Source organism: Homo sapiens, chromosome 8, assembly GCF_000001405.40.
Source record: "Homo sapiens chromosome 8, GRCh38.p14 Primary Assembly".
Taxonomy (NCBI): domain Eukaryota; kingdom Metazoa; phylum Chordata; class Mammalia; order Primates; family Hominidae; genus Homo; species Homo sapiens.
In genome coordinates, this window is record NC_000008.11 from 60,070,816 (window position 1) to 60,097,026 (window position 26,211).

A 26,211-nucleotide genomic window follows, 5' to 3' on the forward strand; every position below is an offset into this window, starting at 1 on the left:
TGAAGAATGAAAAATACATGTTAAGGCTTATGATCAGAAAAAATATCAATAAAAGTGTTTGGGCTCTTTTTCTTAAAAAATCTTATCAGTACCTTCACCTACCTGCTTCCACTACCTCAGGTAACCCCCATCCTACTGCACTGGGTACAGATAGTATAGCCCATCAGCCTCAAGATTTCACAATATGAGAGAATATCACCCAAATGTTATCTAAGAAATTAAAATGTAGCTTTTTCTCCAGTACATAAAAACTATCTACCTCAACTCATAACTGTACTATATATTCAGCTGCTAATTCTTTCTGTTGCAAGTGATTCCCCAACATGTCAAAAATTCAGGTTACATGCTAGGATTTCTTACTAGAAAATGGGAGCTGGTCAAAGCATCACTGATCCAAGGGGACTAGAAAACACCGGATGCTAATACTGCCCCGTTGATATCCTGAGGCCCCTTTCTTCAGAATCAAGGAATTGAGCTTTCATTCAGACCTCAACAAAATAACACCTAAATATGAAATGATACCAGGAAATCAGTATAGTTCAGCTCTTTTGATACCTCTATTTAAAAGTATTCTGTCCATTAGTCGTTTATGGAAATGTCATACAAATTCACCACCTACAAAAGCAGCAAATGTTACTACTTGCATAGCAATTCTATTTAAGATTTGCAGAATTTAAACTATTTTAAAAATCATCTTTGGTTTGTCTGGCTGTTTTCTTCCTTTACCTTTATTTCCCAAATTTCATGAAGTAATAAGATGAAAAACCTCCCTATTTTTATGAAAGCATTTACATGCAATCAGCAAGTGAACAACAAGGCCACAAAGTCTATTTCCATTTGTGCAAGAAACAAAGAGGGGCTTTCAACCTAGAAATGTCAGGCTCCATTACTTCCTGTATGGTATGAAAATGCTACATCTGTTGATGTCAAAGATGGCAATATGTCTATCTACATATCAACATTGATGACTGTGGGATGCTTCAACAGATTCTTGGCAGATCACAGATAATAACTGTTTTCATAAATAGCCAACATAAAAACCAGTGCATGATAAAAACAAAAGTTGGATTTTCTATGACAAAAGAATCTAAACTGACTTTCTAAAAATTTACCAGTGAGCTTGCCTTTATCATTAGAATATTTTGCAAAGAGCCAGCGATCAGAAGAGAGATGGCCTTAGTTTCAGTAATGGCAAATTGCATGATATGGGTTTCGTTGCAGGCATGTTTGTGTGTGCGTGTGTGTTTTATGTTACTACATGATAACAAATATATGTGGCACAATAAAAGTGCTCAGAGACAAGTCCAAGTCCTTGTTGGATATCAGCCCAGAAAATTCTCTTTATAAAGATAAAGTTATATAGAATAAGAACTAGCAAAACAAAAATATACACTAAAAAGTTTAAAGGTTGTATTTTAAGCTACATTCCACACAGCCTGTTTGTTTGTAATTTCAGCTTCTAAGATGTCTACTATATATGCAGGACATTTGTTTGCATCTAAGTGAAAGACAAAAATCAATAAGGTATTTTAAAGCCTCTTTAATAAACACAAATATGCAATTTAAATATTAGACTCAACCTGAAAAGATAAACTTATCTTTGAGTTTTCCAAGATTTTTAAATACATGTGAAAATATTGTCCGGCCTCTGCAGTCAGAGATACAATATGATAAAGATCAAGGACATTTGCCTTACTCATTCCTAATCTCAGCCAAAAGGACAGCACCAGTTTCAACTACCCGAAAGAACATGGATAGCATCATGTCTCAAGTACAGCCGGAACCTGGTGCTAGTTCAAGTTCGGGACTCACTCTGTTTCTCCGCTCTGCTGATTATTCACCTCCTTATCTCTTATGCAACCCTACCTCTTCCACACAGGACACACAGTTTCCCACAACTCCTCACTTCCAAGACGGACAGCTATTTTTTACTAGCACCATAAAGAAAAAAAATTGGAGGAAGACTAATTTAGGTCAGTTTAGGCCATATATGCCTATTGCGGGATTGGATAACAGGGCTGTCCTAACCTGGAATGTTGCCTGCTCCTCACCCAGTCACTTTGGCAAGGGAGAAAAAGTCCTGTAAAAAAATAGTGATATCCACTGAATTCCATGGCAAAGAATTGAAGGAAGGGGCACTTTCCTAATTAGAAGGAGAGTCCTCTTACCAGAAGCTGGGAAGTTTGCTGGCCTACTTAATAATATATGTAAATAGACTAATACATTCTTACCAATTTTGGCTCATCAAAATAAATATTCATACAATATGCTGAAGTCTATTTCCTTCCAATTACTCAGGCTTTTAACAAAAAGTAAGGAAAGTAAAAAATATGTAAAATTCATTGAACACAAATTGGTCTCACCTAGGCAACCCTTAAAGGACCAGTTTTCATGGAGTCCAATTTAAACTGAGTCAGATCATAATTATCTGGTCTGGAAAAATATAACTCTCCTATATTCCCTGGTCCTTAATCTTATTGACTTCAATTTTCTTTTTTATCAATCTATTTCAACAAATCTCATTCTCACAGTTACCTTGAAAATGTTAAAAATCATCATTGTATTAGAAATTCTATATGATATTTTATGGACATTACTAATAAATGTGTTTATTTCAAAAAAGTAAACCATGATTTCAGGGATGTTTACTCCCATTTGTAGCAAACACATTTGATGAATATATTATAATTGCCACCACGACCATAAGTCATGTCATAAAAAGATTGTTTATAGCTGTGAAATTTATCCTTTTCAACTGAATTACAGATTTTTCATTTTAAATACACTCTGCAGTCTGAAAAATCTGGTGACATAGTTGTGACCAAATAGTCAATAGATCTTACTGTTTTGCAGGTGAGGAAGATGAAGACAGAAATAAATGTGCTTTAAAAATGTAATAAGGTGTGATGGTTAAGTTTATGTGTTAACTTGGCTGGGCCATAGGATGCCCAGATATCTAATTAAACATTATTTCTGGGTGTGTCAGTAAGAGTGTTTCCAGAAGAGATTAGAATTGAATTGGTGGACTGAGTAAAGCAGTGAGCTGTCTCCAGTGTAGATGGGTATCATCCAATCCATTGAGAGCTTGAATAGAAAAAAAGGGCAGAGGGAGGTTGGATTCGCTCTCTGCCTGACTGCTTGAGCTGTAGCATCCCTCTTCTTCTGCACTTGAACTAGGACTTACATCATTGGTGCTTTTGGTTCTCAGGCCTTTGGACTCAGACTGGAATTTACACCAGTGGCTTTCCTGGGTCTCCAGCTTGCAGACAGCAGATCCTAGGACTTCTCAACCTCCACAATCCCATGAGCCAACTCCTTATAATAAATCTCACTTATATGATATCATATATTTGAAATATATCATATATAATGAAATTTATTTCTCACCGTGTGTGTGTGTGTGTGTGTGTGTGTGTGTGTGTCTGTGTGTGTGCATGTGTTGTGTCTGTGAGTGCATATCTCCTGTTGGTTCTGTTTCTCTGGAGAACCTTGACTAACACATAGACTATTAACGGACACATTCTTAAATAGAGGACTAAATTAAATTCTGGCTTAGTCGCTGGAACATTCATCAACCAGTAAGGCTCAGAACTAACAAGTGTTTGTTAAATGCCTTCCTAAACAAATAAAAGGAAAAACGGGAATGCCACATTTTACTTCACAGCTGTTTTTTTTTTTCGTTTGCTTACTCTATCAAGGGAGTTTTTTAAATTATTGTTTTGAATAGCAAGTGCTCATTTGTGCACATCTCTAACCTTAATTTTCTGATTTTCTTAAGGATGAGTGGATCTGGTTCAGAACATCTGTGAACACAGAGGGAGTGGAAACTTCACTTTCAACATCATCAGCCAACTTCCCTCCCATTACAATTCTATCTCAAGATCAAGGTCATGCAACAAAACCAGCAGGTGTGATTCTTTCTCTCCGATCAACTCACTTTGTTTTTTCTATTTTTATGCTCTCTTGAGCACTGTATAATTAACTTCCATAATGGCTCTAAAACTACTAGGTAAACATATTTAACAAGCTTCTATCCATATTGATAGAGAGGAAATATGTTAACTATCAGATGTCAGAGAGGAAATATGTTAATGATCCTGGGATATACACCAATACTAATGGATTATTGGTAGAAATATCAATTGACTGCCCTGCAGATTCTAAGCCAACTTTGGCCACTTCTTCTTTGAAGGAAATGATGACAGTGATAAAAAAAAAAAAAAAAAAAAAAAAAAAGCAGCAAGCTCCTGCAGGCATTCCTGAGAAATTCAGAGGGATTTCCTGTACTCTGCAAAGACCATGACACAATGTGGCCATAATCCTAACTCTCATGCTGCTGCTGAAAGTGGAAGCAGAAGGATACAAACAAACCAAACCCTTGGTTCAAGCAACAAGCATTTATTGAATACCTGCTGTGTGCCAGAACTAGTCTAGGCACGTTGAAGGCAATTGATGCAGGACTTCCAATAGCTTCCCATCTCACTCAAAGTAAAGGCCAAAGACATTACAGGGACCTAGAAAGATCTTTCCTCCACTTCACTCCACTCTAGCCACAATGATGTCCATTCTGTTCTTCCAATACACTGTGCATAGTATCTCCTGAAAACCTTATCTCACATGGTTCTCTCCACCTAGGAAGCTCCAATCCCAGATACCTGCATGGCTTGACCTCTCTTTCCAACCAATCTTTACCCAAATACAGCCTCCTCAGAGAGGTCTTCCTGAGCCACATTTGCAAAGTTAAATCACCCCTATGCAGTTCCTAATCTATTTCTTTGCTTTACTTCCTTCCTTAACACTTGTCATTCTCTCACATAGTATATATCTCACCCATTATAATCTGTCTCTATAATTAGACTATAAAATTTAGGTAAGTGGGGCTTTGGGGTTTTGTTTTGTTCACTGCTAAATCCCAAAAAAAGAGCCTTGCACATAATAGCCATTTAATAAATATTTTTGCATTAATTGACTAATAAAATTTGTTACAAGGTTGGTATTATTTCTTCATTCCACTGAAGAAAAGAGGCCCAGAGATTAATTTATATAAGTTTCTAAAACAAGTAAATGGCGAAGCCCTTGTTATCTCCAGATTTATAGTCTAGGACTTAATCTTCTCTGCCACAGTGTGACAGCTACCTAGAAAGCACAGCGCAAAGAAAGATGTTAGAAATGGACATTGGAGGCAACCTCCATGTCCTAATGAGCAGGTGGGGGCATAGTGGAACGTGCATTATGTGATGTGATGCATAATTCATAAGGCTCCTGGACTTTGACTCACATCCTGTGCATAGTGGCAAGGGGCTGCAAATGGCTTCAGGTTGCTATCTTATCAATGAAAAACATTTTAAAAATTATAAATATTCCCTTCTCTAACTGATTAGTAAATATATACAGACAATCTAGGATTTTCCCCTGGCAAAGACCTCCTTTGCTTCTCCTCTGCTTTGTGTAGTATGAATCCCACTATGATATGAAATGAAGGTTTGAGCAGCATAGTGGTTGCATACAAATTCTTTGAGTTTCATCCCAGTGGAGGAGCTCCGTGTTGCAGAATAGGAAAGAGAGAAAGCTAAAATGATCAAAATATTCATCTTATACACATGGAAGGCTTTTTAATTTAATATTTTTCTTGGTCCCACACAACAGATTCATGTAGACACTAATCAGGTTTTAGTCACAGTCTTGCTGTGGATCTAATACTTCATAGAGTAGCACCTCACTCAAATGGGGGAACAAATATTTTTTAGTAAAGCCAGCTTCCTTAGCGTAACAGAACCAACTTGCTTTTGCTATTCCCTAAACAACTTTCCCTGGTTTATAATTTTCAGGTTCTATGATTCAAGACTCTTTTACTTGAAAGCAGTAGAAACCCAATGCAATTAGCTTGAGCAAAGAGGAATTTATTACAAATCTGAACATGTAAAAATAAAAAGGCCTAAGTAGATCTTAGTTACAACTGAAAAGAAGAATTTGTAATCTCTGAGACTCTCTATCTCCTATCCATGCTTCTCTCTACCCAGTATGTTGTTCCTTATGAACAGCTTCTTCCAGATGTTAAAAATATGGCCACCAGCTGCTTCTATATTTTCTTTATTTTTATTAGCATACTTTAAGTTCTGGGATACCTGTGCAGAATGTACAGGTTTGTTACATAGGTATATACATGCCATGATGGTTTGCTACACCCATCAACCCATTATCTACATTAGGTATTTCTCCTAATGCTGTTCCTCCTCTAGACCTCCACCCCCTGACAGGTCCCACCGTGTGCTGTTCTCCTCCCTGTGTCCATGTGTTCTCATTGTTCAACTCCCACTTATGAGTGAGAACATGTGGTGTTTGGTTTTCTATTCCTGTGTTAGTTTGCTGAGAATGATGGTTTCCAGCTTCATCCATGTCCCTGCAAAGGACATGAACTCATTCTTTTTTATGGCTGTATAATATTCCATGGTGTGTATGTGTCACATTTTCTTTATCCAGTCTATCACTGATGGGCATTTGGGTTGGTTCCAAGTCTTTGCTATTGTGAATAGTGCTGCAATAAACATACATTTACATGTGTCTTTATAGTAGAATGATTTATAATATTTTGGGTATATACCCAGTAATGGGATTGCTGGGTCAAATGGTATTTCTGGTTCTAGATCCTTGAGGAATCATCACACTGTCTTCCACAATGGTTGAACTAATGTACCCTCCCACCAAAAGTGTAAAAGTGTTCCTATTTCTCCATATCCTTTCCAGCATCTACTGTTTCTTGACTTTTTAATGATCACTATTCTAACTGGTGTGAGATGGTATCTCATTGTGGTTTTGATTTGCATTTCTCTAATGACCAGTGATGATGAGCTTTTTTTCATGTTTGTCAGCTGCATAAATGTCTTCTTTAGAGAAGTGTGTATTCATATCTTTTGTCCACTTTTTGATGGGGTTGTTTGCTTTTTTCTTGTAAATTTGTTTAAGTTCCTTGTAGATTCTGGATATTAACCCTTTGTCAGACGGATAAGCTGCAAAAATTTTCTCCCATTCTGTAGGTTGCTTGTTCACTCTGATGATAGTTTCTTTTGCTGTGCAGAAGCTCTTTCATTTAATTGGATCCCATTTGTCAGTTTTGGCTTTTGTTGTCATTACTGTTGGTGTTTTTGTCATGAAGTCTTTGCCCATGCCTATGTGCTGAATGGTATTGCCTAGGTTTTCTTCTAAGATTTTTATGGTTTTAGCTCTTCCATTTAAGTCTTTTATCCATCTTGAGTTAATTTTTGTATAAGGTGTAAGGAAGGGGTCCAGTTTCAGTTTTCTGCATATGGCCAGCCAGTTTTCCCAACACCATCTATTAAATAGGGAATCCTTTCCCCAATGCTTATTTTTGTCAGGTCTGTCTAAGATCAGATAGATGTAGATGTGTGGTGTTATTTCTGAGGCCTCTGTTCTGTGCCATTGGAATATATATTTGTTTTGGTAGCAGTACCATGCTGTTTTGGTCACTGTAGCCTTGTAGTATAGTTTGAAGTCAGGTAGCATGATGCCTCCAGCTTTGTTCTTTTTGTTTAGTATTGTCTTAGCTATATGAGCTCTTTTTTGGTTTCATATGAAATTTAAAGTAGTTTTTTCTAATTCTGTGAAGAAGTCAATGGTAGCTTGATGAAGATAGCATTGAATCTATAAATTACTTTGAGCAGTATGGCCATTTCACGATATTGATTCTTCCTGTCCATGAGCATGGAATGTTTTTCCATTTGTTTGTGTTTTCTCTTATTTCCTTGAGCAGTGGTTTGTAGTTCTCCTTGAAGAGGTCCTTCACATCCCTTGTAAGCTGGATTCCTAGGTGTTTTCTTCTCTTTATAGCAATTGTGAATGGGAGTTCACTCATGATTTGGCTCTCTGCTTGTCTGTTATTGGTGTATAGGAATGCTTGTGATTTTTGCACATTGATTTTGTATCCTGAGACTTTGCTGAAATTGCTTATCAGCTTAAGGAGATTTTGGGCTGAGACAATGGGGTTTTCTAAATATGCAATCATGTCAGCTGCAAACAGAGACAATATGACTTCCTCTCTTCCTATTTGAATATGCTTTATTTCTTTCTCTTGCCTGATTGCCCTTGCCAGAACTTCCAATACTATGTTGAATAGGAGTGGTGAGAGAGGGCATCCTTGTCTTGTGCCAGTTTTCTGAGGGAATGCTTCCAGCTTTTGCTCATTCAGTATGATATTGGCTGTAGGTTTGTCATAAATAGCTGTTATTATTTTGATATACGTTCCATCAATACCTAGTTCATTAAGAGTTTTTAGCATGAAGGGTGTGAATTTTATCGAAGGCCTTTTGTGCATCTATTGAAATAATCATGTGGTTTTTGTTGTTGGTTCTGTTTATGTGATGGATTAGGTTTATTGATTTGTGTATATTGAACCAGCCTTGCATCCCAGGGATGAAGCCGACTTGTTTGTGGTGAATAAGCTTTTTGATGTGCTGCTGGATTCAGTTTCCCAGTATTTTATTGAGGATTTTCACATTGATATTCATCGGGGATATTGGCCTGGAATTTTTTGTTGTCTATGCCAGGTTTTGGTATCAGGATGATGCTGGCCTCATAAAGTAAGTTAAGGAGGAGTCCCTCTTTTCCTATTGTTTGGAATAGTTTCAGAAGGAATGGTAACAAGTCCTCTTTGTACCTCCAGTAGAATTTGGCTGTCAATCTATCTGGTCCTGGGCTTTTTTTGGTTGGTAGACTATTAATTACTGCCTAAATTTCAGAACTTGTTATTGGTCTATTCAGGGATTCGACTTCTTCCTGGCATAGTCTTGCAAGGGTGTATGTGTCCATGAATTTATCCATCTTCTCTAGACTTTCAAGTTTATGTGTGTAGAGGTGTTTATAGTATTCTCTGATGGTAGTTTGTATTTCCGTGGAATCAGTGATGATGTCCTCGTTATCATTTTTATTGTGTCTATTTGATTCTTCTCTCTTTTCTTATTTATTAGTCTTGCTAGTGATCTATCAATTTTGTTGATCTTTTCAAAAAACCAGCTCCTGGATTCATTGATTTTATGAAGGGTTTTTTGTGTCTCTATCTCTTTCAATTCTGCTCTGATCTTAGTTATTTCTTGTCTTCAGCTAGCTTTTGATTTTGTTTGCTCTTGCTTCTCTAGTTCTTTTAATTGTGATGTTAGGATGTCAGTTTTACATCTTTCCCACTTTCTCCTGTGGGTGGGCATTTAGGGCTACAAATTTCCCTCTAAACACTGCTTTAGCTCTGTCCCAGAGATCTGGTACATTGTGTCTTTGTTCTCATGGGTTTCAAATAACTTATTTATTTCTGCCTTAATTTTGTTATTTATCCAGTAGTCATTCAGGAGCAGGTTGTTCAGTTTCTATGTAACTGTGTGGTTTTGAGTGAGTTTCTTAATCCTGAGTTATAATTTGATTGCACTGTGGTCTGAGAGACTGTTTGTTTTGATTTCCGTTCTTTTGCATTTGCTGAGGAATGTTTTACTTCCAATTATGTGGTCAATTTTAGAATAAGTGTGATGTGGTGCTGAGAAGAATGTATATTATGATGATTTGGGTGGAGAGTTCTGTAGATGTCTATTAGGTCTGCTTGGTCCAGAGCTGAGTTCAAGTCCTGAATACCCTTGTTAATTTTCTGTCTTGTTGATCTGTCTAATATTGACAGTGGGGTGTTAAAGTCTCCCACTATTATTGTGTGAGAGTCTAAGTCTCTTTGTAGGTGTCTAAGAACTTGCTTTATGAATCTAAGTGCTCCTGTATTGGGTGCATATATATTTAGGATAATTAGCTCTTCTTGTTGCATTGATGCCTTTACCATTATGTAATGCCCTTCTTTTTTGCCCTTCTTTTTTGATCTTTGTTGGTTTAAAGTCTGTTTTATCAGAGACTAGGATTGCAACCTCTGCTTTTTCTTTTGTCTTTTTATTTCTTCTTTTTTTTTCTTTTTTTTGCTTTCCATTTGCTTGGTAAATCTTCTTTCATCTCTTTATTTTGAGCCTGTATGTGTCTTTGCATGTAAGATGGGTCTCCTGATACAGCACACTGAGGGGTCTTCACTCTTTATCCAATTTGCCAGTCTGTGTCTTTTAATTGGGGCATTTAGCCCATTTACATTTAAGGTTAATATTGTTATGTGTGAATTTGATCCTGTCATTTTGATGCTAGCTGGCTATTTTGCCCATTAGTTGATGCAGTTTCTCCATAGTGTCAAAGGTCTTTACAGTTTGGTATGTTTTTGCAGTGGCTGATACCAATTTTTCCTTTCCATATTTAGTGTTTCCTTCAAGAGCTCTTGTAAGGCAGGCCTGGTGATGACAAAGTTTCTCAGCATTTGCTTGTCTGTAAAGGAATTCATTTCTCCTTCGCTTATGAAGCTTAGTTTGGCTGGATATGAAATTCTGGGTTGAAAGTTCTTTTCTTTAAGAATGTTGAGTATTGTCAACCAGAGCCCCCACTCTCTTCTGGTTTGTAAGGTTTCTGCAGAGAGATCCACTGTTTGTCTGATGGGCTTCCCTTTTGTGGGTAACCCGATCTTTCTCTCTGGCTGCCCTTAACATTTTTTCCTTCATTTCAACCTTGGTAAATCTGACAATTATGTGTCTTGGGGTTGCTCTTCTTAAGGAGTATCTTTGTGGTGTTCTCTGTCTTTACTGAATTTGAATGTTGGCCTGCCTTGCTGGGTTGGGGACGTTCTCCTGGATAATATACCGAAGAGTGTTTTCCAACTTGGTTCCAGTCTCCCCATCACTTTCAGGTACACCAATCAAATGTAGGTTTGGTCTTTTCACATACTCCCATATATCTTGGAGGCTTTGTTCATTCCTTTTCATTCTTTTTTCTCTAACCTTTTCTTCACGGTTTGTTTCATTAAGTTGATCTTCAATCTCTGGTATCCTTTCTTCTGCTTGATTGCTTTGGCTATTGATACTTGTGTATGCCTCACAAAGTTCTCGTGCTGTGTTTTTCAGCTCCATCAGGTCATTTATGTTCTTCTCTACACTGATTATTCTAGTTTAGCAATTTGTCTAACCTTTTTTCAAAGTTCTCAGCTTCCTTCCATTGGGTTAGAACAAGCTCCTTTAGCTCAGAGGAGTTTGTTATTACTCGCCTTCTGAAGCCTACTTCTGTTAGTTAATCAAACTTATTCTCCATTCAATTTTGTTCCTTTGCTGGTGAGGAGTTGTGATCCTTTGGAGGAGAAGAGACATTCTGGTTTTTGGAATTTTCAGCCTTTTTGTGCTGGTTTCTCCCCATCTTTGTGGATTTATCTACCTTTGGTCTTTGATGTTGGTGACCTTCAGATGGGGTCTTTGAGTGGATATGCTATTCCTTTCTGTTTGTTAGTTTTCCTTCTCACAGTCAGTCCCCTCTGCTTCAGGTCTGTTGGAGTTTGCTGGAGGTCCACTCTAGACCCTGTTTGCCTGGGTATCACTAACAGAGGCTGCAGAACAGGAAAGATTGCTGCCTGTTCCTTCCTCTGGAAGCTTCGTCCCAGAGGGGCACCCACCAGATGCCAGCTGGAGCTCTCCTGTATGAGGTTTCTGTTGACCCCTGCTGGGAGGTGTCTCCTAGTCAGGAGGCATGGCGGTCAGGGACCCATTTGATGAGGTAGTCTGTGCCTTAGCAGAGCTCGAGTGCCAGGCTGGGAGATCTGCTGCTCTCTTCAGAGCCACAAGCAGGAATCTTTAAGTCTGCTGAAGCTGCACCCACAGCTGCCCCTTTGCCCAGGTGCTCTGTCCCAGGGAGATGGGAGTTTTATCTATAAGCCCCTGACTGGGGCTGCTGCCTTTCTTTCAGAGGTGCCCTGCCCAGAGAGGAAGAATCTAGAGAGGCAGTCTGGCTACAGTGGCTTTGCAGAGCTGTGGTGGGCTCCTCCCAGTTTGAACTTCCTGGAGGCTTTGTTTACACTGTGAGGGGAAAATGGCCTACTCAAGCCTCAGTAATGGTGGATGTCCCTCCCCCGACCAAGCTGGAGCGTCCCAGGTCAACTTCAGACTGCTGTGCTGGCAGCAAGAATTTCAAGCCACTGGATCTTAGCTTGCTGGGCTCCATGGGGTTGGGATCTGCTGAGCTAGACCACTTGGCTCCCTGGCTTCAGTCCCCTTTCCAGGGCAGTGAACAGTTCTGTCTCACTGGTGTTCCAGATGCCCCTGGGGTATGAAGAAAAACTCCTGCAGCTAGCTTGGTGTCTGTCCAAACAGCCACCCAGTTTTGTGCTTGAAACCCAGGGCCCTGGTGGTGTAGGCACTGGAAGGAATCACCTGGTCTGTGGGTTGCAAAGACCATGGGAAAAGCATAGTATCTGGGCCAGAATGCACTGTTCCTCATGGAATGGTCCCTCACAGCTTCCCTTGGCTAGGGGAGGGAGTTCCCTGACCCCCTGTGCTTCCCAGATGAGGCAACGCCCCACCCTGCTTCTGCTTGCCCTCTGTGGGCTGCACCCACTGTCTAACCAGTCCCAATGAGACGAGCCAGGTATCTCAGTTGGAAATGCAGAAATCACCCTCCTTCTGTGTTGATCTCACTGGGAGCTACAGACCTGGAGCTCTTCTTACTCAGCCATCTTGCCAGCCACCCCAGTCTCTGCTTCTATATTTTATATCTCACAGCTTGGCCATTGTCTGGGGACTCTATCTCTTTCTCCTTCTTCAGTTTGCAAACTCCAAGGAAGGATTCTGATTGGGCGGGTTTGAAAGCCCACTCTTGGATCCCAATCATCTGTGGCCAGATTGGAGTCAACAATGAAATGGCCACTCCATTCAACTTCCACAAGCGGAGTGTGTAAGAGAACATTTCCTAGAAGAAGGGGTGTTGCTGTTACCACAGACCTCAAAAGCAGAAAGACAGGCAGGGATGGGGGCTGAATAACCAAAAAACTGATGTTTCCCACACAGGCCTGCTTTTCAGGACCCCAGCATCTACCATGTACCCTCTCCTGTTAAATTTTCCCTCCAAATTTCTTCCAGTCCACTAATCTACTACTTGTCTTAGTCCATTTGGGCTGCTATAATAAAATACCGTAGATTCATAATTTATAAAGAAGAGAAATGCATTTTTCACAGTTCTAGAGACAGAGAAGTACAAAATCAAGATGCCAGCAGATTCAGTGTCTGGTCAGGGCTTTCTCTCTGCTTCAAAGATGGCACCCTCTCGTATTAGAAAACAGCAAGTGAGCTGCTTCAAGCCTCTTTAATAACGGCATCAATCCCATTCAGGAAGGTGGAGCCCCCATGACCTAATTGCCTCCCAAAGGCCCCACCTCTTATACTATCCCATTGGAGATTACATTTTAAACATATGAATTTTGGGGAGACAAACATTCAGACCACAGCATTACTTTTCTATTAAAGTACCAAAAAAAGACTTCATCAGAGACCAAGACATAAATAGCCCATTTCCATCAATAAATTAAATGAGTTCCTGTGAAGGTTTCCAACAGCTGATATTTAGATACATCAGTTTTACTTGAGCCCTTTTAGTCCATTTTCATCAACCCTCAGCGGAAGTTAACTGGAATGAAGTGTACATGACTGAATCTAAAGTTTTTACTGAAACAAGCTTTTTATGGAATTATTTCACCGGGATGTCTATCCATGATACTTGTTTGTGCTCTCTGCTCCCCTATGTACACTAAAACAGACCCAGTAGGTCTCCTGTCATCTCAGCACGAGGTACCAGTGCCTTTGGTTCATGCATTTGTTTCTCTGGTGTACCTGCTGTAGGCTGATATTCACTGATATTGCATCTAATGATCATCACACTTTTGGAAATTCATGAACTTGTAATAATCGGCCCTAGCCTTAACATCACTTTCCTTTGTGATTTATGTGGACAATATGTGATCCAGGAAAAATTAAAAGATACAAAATTGTACCTATATTTTGCCAGAAATAAGTCATAAAGTAAACTACAATCGCATACACTTATACACGCTCACACAGCCTCTCTCATACACACAGAGATGCACACTTATCTCTCTCTGTGCTTCACAATAACTGCATTAAGGAATTTCAGATTATCTTGGAAGAAAATAATTTTTTTCTAAACAGAAGCTTTAAGAAATTTTTACTGATTTTTTGCAAGGGGTCTCTAAACATGCTCAGCTTCTAATAAAGCTAGTGTTGATTCTATTCAACAACATGATTTACTTCATCCTAGTACATATGAGAAAAATCAGAGTCCAGTGATACTACAGATTTGTAGAAGATGGTATAGCACACCAACAGAAAAATTGCACTTGCTGTACTACAAATGGCAGCTCTTCAAAATACAGTAATTTTCCTAATAGCCACAGAACAAAGCAAACAAAATTCCATCTGTTAAGCAATACCCAAGAGTGATTTCCATTTTCATCTCAACCACAGAAATCCCTCTATTAAAAAGAGACATAGCCATGGTCATTGGCAAGCACATCTTTGTGCATCAGTTTCATTATTTGCAGTTCATTAGCCTCCAGAGGTGACACATTTGCTAGGAACCATGCAAAGGAAAGCCTGACATGGTTCCCACACCATGGGGCTTACAATCAAGAAGAAACAGCTAGGAAATATTCAGCAAGAGCAAAAATAGAAGTAAAGAGATGGCACAGAGAGGAGAGAAATTCAAAAAGGGAATTTAAGGCATGGAGAGAAAGGGCATTGAAATTTGAATTCCTCTTCAGGGTTAAGTTCATCATCCAATATTAGAAAGGAGCTCAAATGCTTGAGGAAATACAATATTCTAGTGGACCAGAAGGAAAAGGTGGAAATAAAAGAAATGGTAAATTCCTTCACGTCAGAGGCAGTAGTTTAATCTCTACAATCTTTAACCAAAGAGTAGCAACACGAAACACATAGTAGGCTCACAATAATTGTCAAATAAAAGGATTAGTGGAACTACTTTTTAGAGCTGCATTGCTTAAAGATTTTTCTGAAGCACATTGTGCAAGCTAAGTGGTCTGTAGACAAAAGGCTTTGTGGTCAAGTAAGTTCACTAGTGCTGTCCAATGTCACTTACAAGATGCATGAGGCCCAAGGGCATATTAAAGCCTCAGAGAAATCCAGCAGTAGAGAAATTTTTAGATGTATTAACCCTATTTCTCTCAACTCATATGACCTCAGAATCTTTCTGGAGTTTTTTGGGTTTTGTGTTTTGTTTTTCATATATCACCTGTTGGCAACCCAAGACTCTATTCTCATGCGCAGACTTTGAGAAATACTGCCTTTAAAAGCCTTAGAAAGCAAGGGCAGAGAATATAAGAAATGTGTTTTTAAAAAGACTGTTAGCTTCAAGAGGTCAAAGACTGTGTCTGTTTGACTTTCTGGTTGTACCTCCAGAGCCTAAAATAATAGCCAGACAAAAAGTGGTCAGTAAATATTTGATGAGTGAATGAAGGGAGGAAGAAGGGGAAAAGGTTAGGATAATTGGTTAACCTACTGGATCCTGGTCTGTTAGCCAAGATAAGGGAGATAATTAGTCCGGTAATTGACAGGTTGAAGTTGTGGCAACTGTAGAAAATCTAGATGGAAATTTCCTGTTGGACGGATGGCACTCAAACCAAACTCAAGATCTGAGATACAGCTAATCAATTTGGATTATTATCTATCTTAGTCCAATTGGGCTGCTATAACAAATATATCATAGACAGGGTGGTTTAAACAACAAACATTTATTTCTCACAGTTCTGGAGACTGCAGGGTGCCATATAGTTGAGTTCTGGTGAGGGCCTGCTTCCTGGTTCGCAGAAGGTCATCTTCTCACTGTGCCCTCACGTGGTGGAGAGACAAGAGAGCTCTCTGCAGTCTCTTATAAGAGCACTAATCCCATACCTGAAGGTTTAGCCCTCATGACCTAATCATCCCCCAAAGTCTCCACCTCCTAATACCATCACAGTGGAGATTAGGTTTCAACATAGGAGTTCTGAAGGGACACAAATATTCAGCCTTTAGCAGTGTCCTTTAAAATAGAAAAGCAAAATGAACCAAGCACACATGCCTGAAAAAAAACAGTTAGTTGCCAAGGTGTAGTTAACGTCATTGGAAGGGGTTCATCCACTGTCCTCCCACATATTTTCCCACCCTAACCCCAATCTCCCCTCTGCTCTTTGTCTTGTTTTCCCTACCTGAGAAAATGGCACACAACTATCCTGCCCCACAGTGCAGAAACCTGAGGCTTATCCTCCTTTGCAAGGCCTCTCTCATCAACACTTATTGACTCCAGCCAGAAACCTGACTTCTGTTGGATGTTGAATGATTAGCACCAATACATGGAATAAATAATACCAATGACAATATTATTCTGTCTTTAGATAGCACTCTACAGCACATTTTCAAAGATACTATCTCTAATTCTGAAAAGAATCCTGTATCCTACATCATTATGTCTCAGAGGAGAAAACTGAAAATACCTAACTTTACTCAGTGCACACAACCAATGAGAAACAGATCTAGGAATGGAAACAAGGGAACAGTGTGTTGTTTCTTTCACAATTAATTAAAAGATATGCACGTAGCACTTAAGCCCTAGAAACTCTATGGAATCAAAGAAATGTAAGGCTTAACCATTTTCAAATTCTGGCTCCCTGAAAATATCAGCAAACCAACTTGAATATATGCAGAGCAGAAATTATTACTTATCACAGTAGGGCAGAACTCTCCCTTGATGTGGTCTTAGTAACACATTGGAAAGGACAGGTGAAGTTGGGATATTTGTAAGGTTTTGGAGTCCAGACACTAAGACATTTTTCAGTGTTGGGGCTTAACTGGGATTGAGTAAAGATCATGGTACAATAGTCTAGGATCAGTGGACAAAGCAATGAGAAAGCTTTGATGCACAAGAAGTACTGGAGAGTAAACAGCAACTTAAGGCTATGTATTCTGCAATGCTCATTTAAGTGGATTTTTGCAGAATGGCCCTGGTATAAACAATAATATTATTTTCATCTCCTTAGGCAAGAGTCTCCTAGAATGGTAAAGACATGTTGATGAAAACAGTGGAATAGTAAAATTAGTAAAGACAAACAAATAATACAATCATGTTAATATAGACAACAAGTACATGAGTATAAACAATTTTAGTTCTCACTACCAAAGTGGTATTGTATGGAAGAAAGAACAGAAATCCAGACCTAGATTTGAAAAAACACTTCCCACATATTGCCTTTGTAAGCTTGGCCAAGTTACTTAACCTCTCTGAAAACCATCACACAATGTAATATTGAGATGCTTTGTAAAAATAATAAGAACAAATAAATGCAATCCATTAGACCTTAGGAAAGAAAGAAAATAACCTAAACCAGGAGTATTTTGAGGCAATGGTGGAATACACAGGTGGATCTAATTTCACATTCTGGTGATGAAAACACGATCAAGGAAAATATCTTTATCAGTAAGCGAACATTTGCTAGGATCCATGCCTTTACATTTTTTCCCATTTGAGTGCCATTTTTTGATGGAATGGTATGACAAAGAATCTTTTAACTGTATGAAAGGGAAGGAAGAAAAGGATGAGGCAATTCATCACAACTTATTAATAAACAAATTTTACCCTGCTTAGCAAGATTATATTTTAAATCAAATGTTTGAGCTAATTATAATCATACTAAGCTCCACTTGAGTTCTACTAGTGTGCTGACCCTTTACCCTGTTGAACGTCAGCTAGTGCCAGGCCCTAAAGCAGATATACTAACACTACCTCCTTTAAAGTGTTAACTGAGCTAGAACAAAACTCCCTTTTACAGAAGTACTGATTTTCTTATCGCTTTCAAATATGGAAAATACATGGCAGATCAAATATGAATTCCATGATCCCCAATTGAAACATGAGACTCCAAGAAATATGAGACCAACTTATTGAAAATGATGCAAGAAAATAATGAGAAAATATTTCCTTTTTGAGTGACAAAACACCATAAAGAAAATGTTAAGGAAGCTAGTTGTTCAATCATTGAAATGGCATAACTTGTGACACAAAAGAATTGGAACCAAAAAGTCCTGTCATCCTTTGGAGAAGGAAAAAAGCAATAAATAAAGTGGTTTTGCACCATGTGGCAGCCTATCCCCAGATCTGAATCGGAAATAGAGACTTTAGAAAATAAAGGCTCTGTTACTATTGACCAAACTGAAAGGTTAGATACCGAAACTCATCGTATTGACTTTGACAAAATTCACATACTTTGTTATGACAATAAACTCATTAAATTAAAACCAAAATTGGAATTGAAATAGTGCAGACACCAAGAACCAAAAAACATTATAGAAACTAAGGACCTAAATTTCTCCCCAGAGGAGGTAGAATTGAAAATCATTGCTGTAATGAAATATGAAGAGATGAAGTTTGGGAATACAACAAAGAAACTTTTTTCTTATTTAAAAGACGGTTTAATAGAATACAAATACCAATGTCTTGGAAGGAGGTACTTCCTGGCTAACCAAAACATTATGTTCATGGCAATCAAATGTTAATTAGAATTAAGGAGTAAGAGGCAAACATCTGAAAAAAAAAGTTTTAAAACTTAAGTCAAGCAAAGTTTCAAGGGACTTGAGAGTTTCGATGGGACTTATTTCCCATGCTCTGCGGTTTAAAAATATTATAATCACTTTCTACTCATGAAATTATTAGGTCAGTGCAAAAGTAACTGCAGGAATTGGCAAAAGCTGCAATTACTTTTTACCAACGTGCTACATTGTGCCGGGCCAGTCCTACAGTAGCAAAATTGCTGCCCACTCGTATGATCTGATCTGAAGAAATATCAAAACCCACCAGCCAAAATATAGCCCTGCCAGTCTGCCATTGCCTTATTCTCCCATTCTCTTTGGCCTGCAATTCACTCAATAAACTCATTGACTATAAGGCTTTTGGGGGCCCCTGAGATCATCTCATGTATGTAACTCCAGCAGAAGAGTTGAATGCAGAAACTGAGAAATATTCAAAGTAAGACCAGTTATCTTAGTGGGTAGTTGTTCTTGTCTACCGTAGTTAACAACGTGAATATCTTATGTTTGGAAATAAAATGTTCCCTCCTTCTTTGTCCTTCCCATGTTACTCTCCCATATGCTAGCAACCTCTCCACTCCTTGATAACTGTCACAATCTCTCCTCTGTCTTCAAATCTCCAACACAGAACATGCTTCAGAGCTTTTCTAGATTTTGAAATTGGCTGTGGTAAGGTTCCAAAATAACGAAAAATATGATTCCAGATTTTCTACCCTGGCAAATTTATGGAAAGCAATTTGACTACCACTATTATATCATCAGACAATGACAATGTTTACAGTCCCCCTAGAGAGATGATTTGCAAGAACTTCTTCACTGTTATTTAGAAGGTATAGTCTTCACCTTTACAAATGTTTTACATTTGGTTTTACAAATATTCCACTTTACTGGGCCTATGCTGAAATGGTTTGAATATCCAACTCATCACCAGCTAACAGCAGGGAACACAATGGTAGTTAAATAGAGATCTCAGACATCACTATAAACACACTGGAAAGCTCTAGTCACTTCTTAAGATGTCATTATAATATAATACATTCACTTCAACATAAGAACCATCTGAGAATTGGTTGTGGGGCAAATAAAATCAAATTGTAGGGACTCCCATGTTAGATGGACCTTCAAATCTTTAATTAGGACAAAGTAAGGATTATTTAAAATTGCCATTTCTCTAGCAAATTTTTTTAATTAAGCACAGGTGCAAGAACACTAGATATATGAAATCATAGAGGTGCCAAAGGAAGCTATTTTCTTGGCAATTGAACATAAAGAATTTATTTTGAAAATCCTATCTGTAGAAAGTAAAAATCTATCTGGTATGGATAGCATAAATGAAATCCTGTGAGTAGCTTCTTAAATTGTACACTTAGAAAAATGAAGGGGAAAGGCATAGAAGTATTTCCTAGCAAGCTAAATGTATGAATATCAGGAACAGTGAGGATAGGAATAGAAATATAGTAGGTAAATACATGCAATAAAGCTGTGTAAAATATAGCTTTAGGTAAACCAAATCGCTTGGTTATAAAATTGAATTCTTCTGTTAAGAAAAAGTTATCTCCTGGATTTGCAGCAATAAATTTAAGTAGCAGAAGAAAGTCAAAGTGAAAGTAACTAAATCCAGATCTTTGAGAAATGTAGGACATCAAATTTCCAACAAAAAATATTTACTGACTAGTCCCAATTTTAGGCACTTGGAAAGAACAAAAAGGATACCATTTTAATGTACAGGTTAACAACTCTCAAGGGTCTTATCCATGGAAATACTTAAAATCTTGGCTTTACTTGTTTTCACCTTTATTTCTAATTTATTCTCAAACTGTTTTTTTCTTCTATAAAGAGAAGAAATTTCTAGGAAAAAATCCTGACTTAGTGTTAGCAGCTCAACATGTTAAATATGTCATCTCTAATACTTTTTATAGCTCACAGTAAATCAGTATGTATTGGTCAACAATATTCAAACTAATATTTTTTTTATGAAAACATTTGAGAAATGGTAGTATAAATCTCAGGGAACTGGCTTGGTAACACAATGTGTTTGGTTACCATGTGCATGTCATAATAAAAACAAAGTTTTCAATGTACTTGACATTCCACAAAGCATATGAAATGTTTTTTCTTAGTTATGTCAGCAATGAATATGTAGTAAGTGGCTCATTTAGCCCAAGATTAGGAGAACTTCTTTTTTTAATTTCAAGTTTTGTGATTTTACGTATTCTTTGGAATTCTCTTCCCTGGCTTGCCAGTCAGCAAAAAGTATAAACCTTAGAAGCAAACAGCAAAGTTGGCACTGTGAAATCAGTAGCCACTCACTCTGATACTTGATGGATGCAGGGTCTTTATATAAAGCCATCTGCATACCTATGGCTGTGAAAGTCACCAAATAGAAGAAAAACATAAACTAAGAGAAAACTCTCAACTGATGTTCTCATTCACATCAACTAGGGTGAAGGTCCATTAGGCAAATGACCCATTGTTTTTCTCTGTCTGTAGAAATAGCTTCCCAGATACCAAAAGAGAAAGAAAGAGCCATGGAGCAACTGATGGGTTGTAGAGCTCATTGCACATGCCACCTCAACCCAGGCCATGACTTCTCAGGCTTGCTGGATAAGTCTCACAGGACAGGGAAACCAATGGCCTAGAGTGAGTGGGAGCTTAGAGGCTGAAATACTGATCCTTAGCCCTTCACTCAAGGGATGCTGGAACAATAGCAAATTCAGATAGGAAGCAAGTCACCCAACCAAGATGAAAACAAATGAAGAATCAATGTACATTAAGGCCATTTTTTTAATAGACTGATAGCACCCATGAGAGAACCTTTGTGAAAAGCAGCAAAAGAACTCTTTCTGTAACTAAGCAGGAGACGTTGAAAGAAATACTACCCACAGCATTAGCAAGAGAAAAACAACACATAACCAGATCAGATGCAATCATGTATTCAAGCATTTATTACAGACACCTGGCACCTACTAGATAGTTAGTGAATGTTAACTCTCTCCACACCAAGATGAAAAATATACATAACTGAAAGTTGATATAAGATTAAGGACAGTTTTTTTCAAACCTTACTTGTTATCACTGTTCTATTCATCTATATCTTACTTTTAAAACAAAATCTTGGAAGAAATATATGTTCCCATCATAACTCATTCAGAGTTCAATTTGCATTGGATTAAAAGCCCATTGCCAGTTATGATGAAGAAGTTCTAGAAAATAAGCCAGTTCTAAACAGACACTATTGAATAGGAGACATACCAAATGCGACTCCAAATTATCATGGGTGTTACATTATGAAGGTGATCGTTCTTTGATCACTCATTTATTCATTCAACAGGATACATATATTGCATACTCATGGCTAAGTAGTAGAAACTAAAATGTGTAAACATGGAGCATATAATGTGATAATATATGTAAAAATTCTTTCAAAAGTGAAAAATGCCATAGAAATGCCAAAGTTGAAGATGATGGTGATGTAATCATATCCTTGGGGGAGAGGCAACATAGTCTCTTTAAATAAAGGAAAAGCTTGTCTGTTTATTAATTATATAAAAGGAATAATTTATATTCATAATCTATTTAGATTTCTAAGTAGCTAGAGAATTATTCCATAAAAAGTTGATTGTTCTGTTTCAAATTAGTTAACATAGGATTATGGGGAATGCTTTATTTGAATGAGACAATGGTAAAAAGAAGACCTTTCTTGGTATAGAGAAGCATTAATTACAATCATCTTATTGGACAGTTTTATAAATCACTCAAAAGAAACTTCAGAGTGAAGTCTTCCTATTTGCAGACAGCGCTCAGCTTCCAGGCATCTAAATAACAAGCTGCCTGGCATCAATTAAATCTGAAGAGACTGTGGCATGAAAATTGACAAATGAGTTTAACTATCATGAATAAAAGAGCAAAATAATAAAACAGTGGCTTTTGAGAGGATGGGCTCCAATGAAAAAACAGAAGAGAACCTGTTGTGACATTATTGTTATTGCCTGTTTGTGCATGAATATTGTTGTTGCTGTTCATATTGTCCTCTCTTCAATTGAGTTATATACATTGTTGTTTTGACAGGTGTCAAGACATTTTAAGATGTTGTCAATTTGCCAAGGAAATGAAAGATTGTTGTGAATATGGCAAGATGTGAAAACAATGGAGGACTAGGTTTGGTATTAGTGAGGCAGATATTTGTCATTGGAGGAAATACTACAATTCCATATTTTCTTTGAGAGCAACTACAAAATTCATTTTGCAACATAAGAAAGGAAGGTGCTCACAAGTGACAGAGCTGTGATGTCTTGTTACTGAGCAATGTGCAAAATGCTGGCTTATCACACACTACATAATGCGACTGAGGGCAGGAAACACTGCCAACCCCTTCAAATACAAGAAAGAAGTTCAAATGCAAAAATAGGCTAAGGAGGTCTAATTTTGCATTACTTGGGGTTATTGGTAAGACATTGAGTCATGGTCTAATTGGCAGGTTTTTTTCCTTTCATGTGAAAATAAGATTTTTTTTTACAACTAATAGTGTATTAAAGTTAATAAAATGCAGTCAGTCCATATTTGGCGATGGGGGAAGAGCGTGTAAAAAGTGTTGCGTATATGAAGAGAGACGGGCAAGCCAGATGGAGCCGTGGCCTCGGGGAGTGAACCAACAAAGGCAGGGACATATATCCAGCCATGCAGGGTCATATCAGAGCTGTGTTTTCATTCTAAGAGCAATGAGAATCCATGAAACATTCCAGTGGGACTGCGGCTAGGGTCAGGGTGGGGAGAGAAGACTTGTCATTTTTAAAGCTCAGTCTGGCTGTGCTATGGAGAAATGGCCCCAAGTGGGTCCTGAATGAATGGTCCACACACTGGATAGAAGTTGGTCACGGTGCTTCAAGCCAGAGCTACAGTAACAAGGACCTGGGAGGTGACAGACAGTAAGCAGACATTGTCATGAAATATTTGAAAGTACTTTAATAGGTATATGCAATATGGTTTTCAAACTTTTACCTGGAACCAGTTTGAAGGCCCTGGCTAGAGATCAGTCAATTTCCCTAACTGAGCAACTGATTAAGGTCACATCCTCAACTACCTCCCATACTGGGTTCTCACACCGTGGGCCACAACACACCCATCCTAATCACCCCAAGGCTAGGTACCAGACAACCAGGAGCAGCCTCTATGCCCAGATCCTGCTGAAAATACTCAAACCAGCCATCTAAACCTGTGTACCTTGCCTCACCCATTTCTTCCAACGAAAAACACAACAAAGGCTCTAGCCCACATTTTCTCCTGACTCCTTCAGTCTTTTGACCAACTCTGGGGCTTCCTCCTGTGTCCCTGCCTAGGATAGGGTGCTATGTTAAAAATGTGTGAATCTTTCTCATTTCTCTCTCTTGATCTGCATCTGGCCTCACCACACTTCACCCAAGGTAAGTGGTTAAAACAGTATAACCCTGTTAAAATCTAAAAGGTAAATCTGAATTTAGTGAAATTTTAATAAACCAAATCATTAGATGACACAGGAAAAAGAGTAGTAGAAATCTAAATGTCACTCAAACATTTAGTCACTTAGAGACCAAACTTATTGAAAACTCATAAGACAGAGCAAACCAAAAAAAAAAAAAAAAGTTACAATGTCCTTTCCTACCAAGTTTGCAGACAAGTAGCAGAATTGTTTGATCTGATTTTTATTTCATTTTATTTCTCCTGTCCATCATCTGGCAGAGATGCTAAAGAACAATGAACAATTACATGTTCAAAAAGCAAGCAGAAAACGAAGAATGAGGAATAAAAGACCTGTTTAATCTTAAAATTAGATAAGTAATATTTGAATAATTGTGCTTTGACTAGAATAATAGCATAGCTTCTGCCCATGACGGACCCTTGATAAATGTTTGCTTGAGTGAATAAAAGAACTGACAGGATTCTTTAATTGCAAAAATGTCATTAAATTAATATTAATTATAAAATGAAAATCTCAGATAAAATATATAATTCAAAAATATATTACATTCAAGAGAATAAGACATGTCCTTTGACATGTGTTTATCTGCTAAGAATCCTAGAGTTGCGTTCACAGTTTAATCCAACTGTCTTTATAGATCTACATATATGCATGTTCATATATTTGAATAATTTTGCACATATTCAGTTTGAGACGTAATTATTCAGCTTAATCATAATGCAGTGTTTGAGGTATTAAATGAGTACAAATACAACAACAACCCATGGAGCATAAAGCCCATATTTCTAAATCTGTTTGCAATTCTAAGAAACTCTAGTTAATTCAAAAGAGATACTTTTGTTGACAGAGATCCAACTGGGGTTTAAGATATTATGACATATACACTCTTAACAGATAAAAGTAGAAAGGAAGAGACCAGAGCTAAGTAAGAATTTCAGGATGAATTGCACACCATCCTTTAGGATAAAATTTTTTTCTTACCTGTGGGGAACCATCTCTAAAGTACAAGGCAAGAGAGATATAGTTTAAGATTTTAAACTTCAGTTTCCATACATGAAAGGAAATATAATTAAAAATGAAGTCTTCAAGTTTTGAAAGGAACTTGAAAATGGCACACTTAGCCAAGTTTCTTTGATAAGTTTTGATAGTAATTGGTACCTATAGTGTTTGTGCAAGAGGCACATATAACCGTAGCCCCACCTGATTATAAAATCTGCTTTCACTTTCATCACAAAAGTTGATTATGCATACCTGTTAGCTGATATTCTGTGCATCCATCTCTGAATGGCTCAGTTGCATGGATTAGGCTTTTAATAAGGGCCACATGGCAGGATTCATTTCTTTTATGCCATTTTGCCTTGCATTGGTCTTGCCACAGACTACAGATATCCCATAAATTCATATCTTTAGCCATAAGCAAGACTGGCTAAAGGGTGTGGATACGACTCTACCAACCAATTATAAAAGTAGCCCAGAGTTTGTCCCTACTGACAACAATGGCATCATCTAACTTGTGAAAGACAGGCCTTGACATATACTCTTGCCATCCATCCTCCAGCCCCCTGCCCCAGAAACTTCTCAAAAGATAAATCAGATCAAAACCTACTTTAAATCTCAGACAAATTTCCCATTGCTTTTCAGATGAAACTACATTTATCACAACCCCCAAGTCCCTGCATGTTATACTCTCAGCCTCATTTTCTACCATTTCTTCCTGATTCCTTTTGACCCCCACTCCCCTCCTTTCCTTCCCACCTTTACGGCTAGCATTGAGTGCCTGCAGCTTTTCTAGGTGCACAGTGCAAGCTGTCAGTGGATCTACCATTCTGGGGTCTGGAGGATGGTGGCCCTCTTATCACAGCTCCATTATCTCAGCCATAATAATCTCTCTGTACTCCTTAAACACACAAAACCCCACTCTTTGTCTTCCGATGATCCTCTCATCCACCTGAAAATCCAGAATCCTACTTTCATGTTAAGCATTGTATAATATGGGTTTGATGTTAGTTTCCCTGAGTAGTCTGTAAATCTGTGAGAGCAAAGACAGTGCCAATAGCCATCTCTGCTAAATTTCTAGGACTAAGCAAAGTTCTAGGAATTTAATAAATATTTGTTGAATGAATGAATGAATGAATGAATGACAACAGTTTCTTTTATAAATAAGCACAACATAATTAAAGCCCTGTTTCTCCATGAGCCATGTCTCCTTGGGCGCTATTTCAGGGCACCATTTTTAACATGCAACAATGCCACAAAGGCCTCCTGCTCTTGTGTTCT

At 38.0% G+C, this 26,211-nt stretch overlaps 1 long non-coding RNA gene across 3 annotated transcripts in view, besides 1 other annotated feature; it reads left to right on the forward strand.

Annotated features, from left to right (window-relative positions):
• LOC105375861 (uncharacterized) overlaps positions 1 to 26,211 on the forward strand; it is a 69,653-nt gene that overhangs the window by 24,008 nt on the left and 19,434 nt on the right. For 2 of the 3 annotated variants that reach the window (XR_001745714.3, XR_007060918.1), the window contains one exon: positions 3,779 to 3,908. This is a non-coding gene — a long non-coding RNA (uncharacterized LOC105375861). Of the gene's footprint in view, positions 1 to 3,778; positions 4,963 to 26,211 lie in introns of those variants that run through there. The other variant, XR_002956710.2, reaches the window with a different exon arrangement.
• Positions 1,622 to 1,822: a silencer, noted in NCBI's record as "peak7046 fragment used in MPRA reporter construct". NCBI's record gives its function as "represses an SCP1 promoter by STARR-seq MPRAs in K562 erythroleukemia cells {active_cell/tissue: K562}" and the evidence as "EXISTENCE:reporter gene assay evidence [ECO:0000049][PMID:32103011]".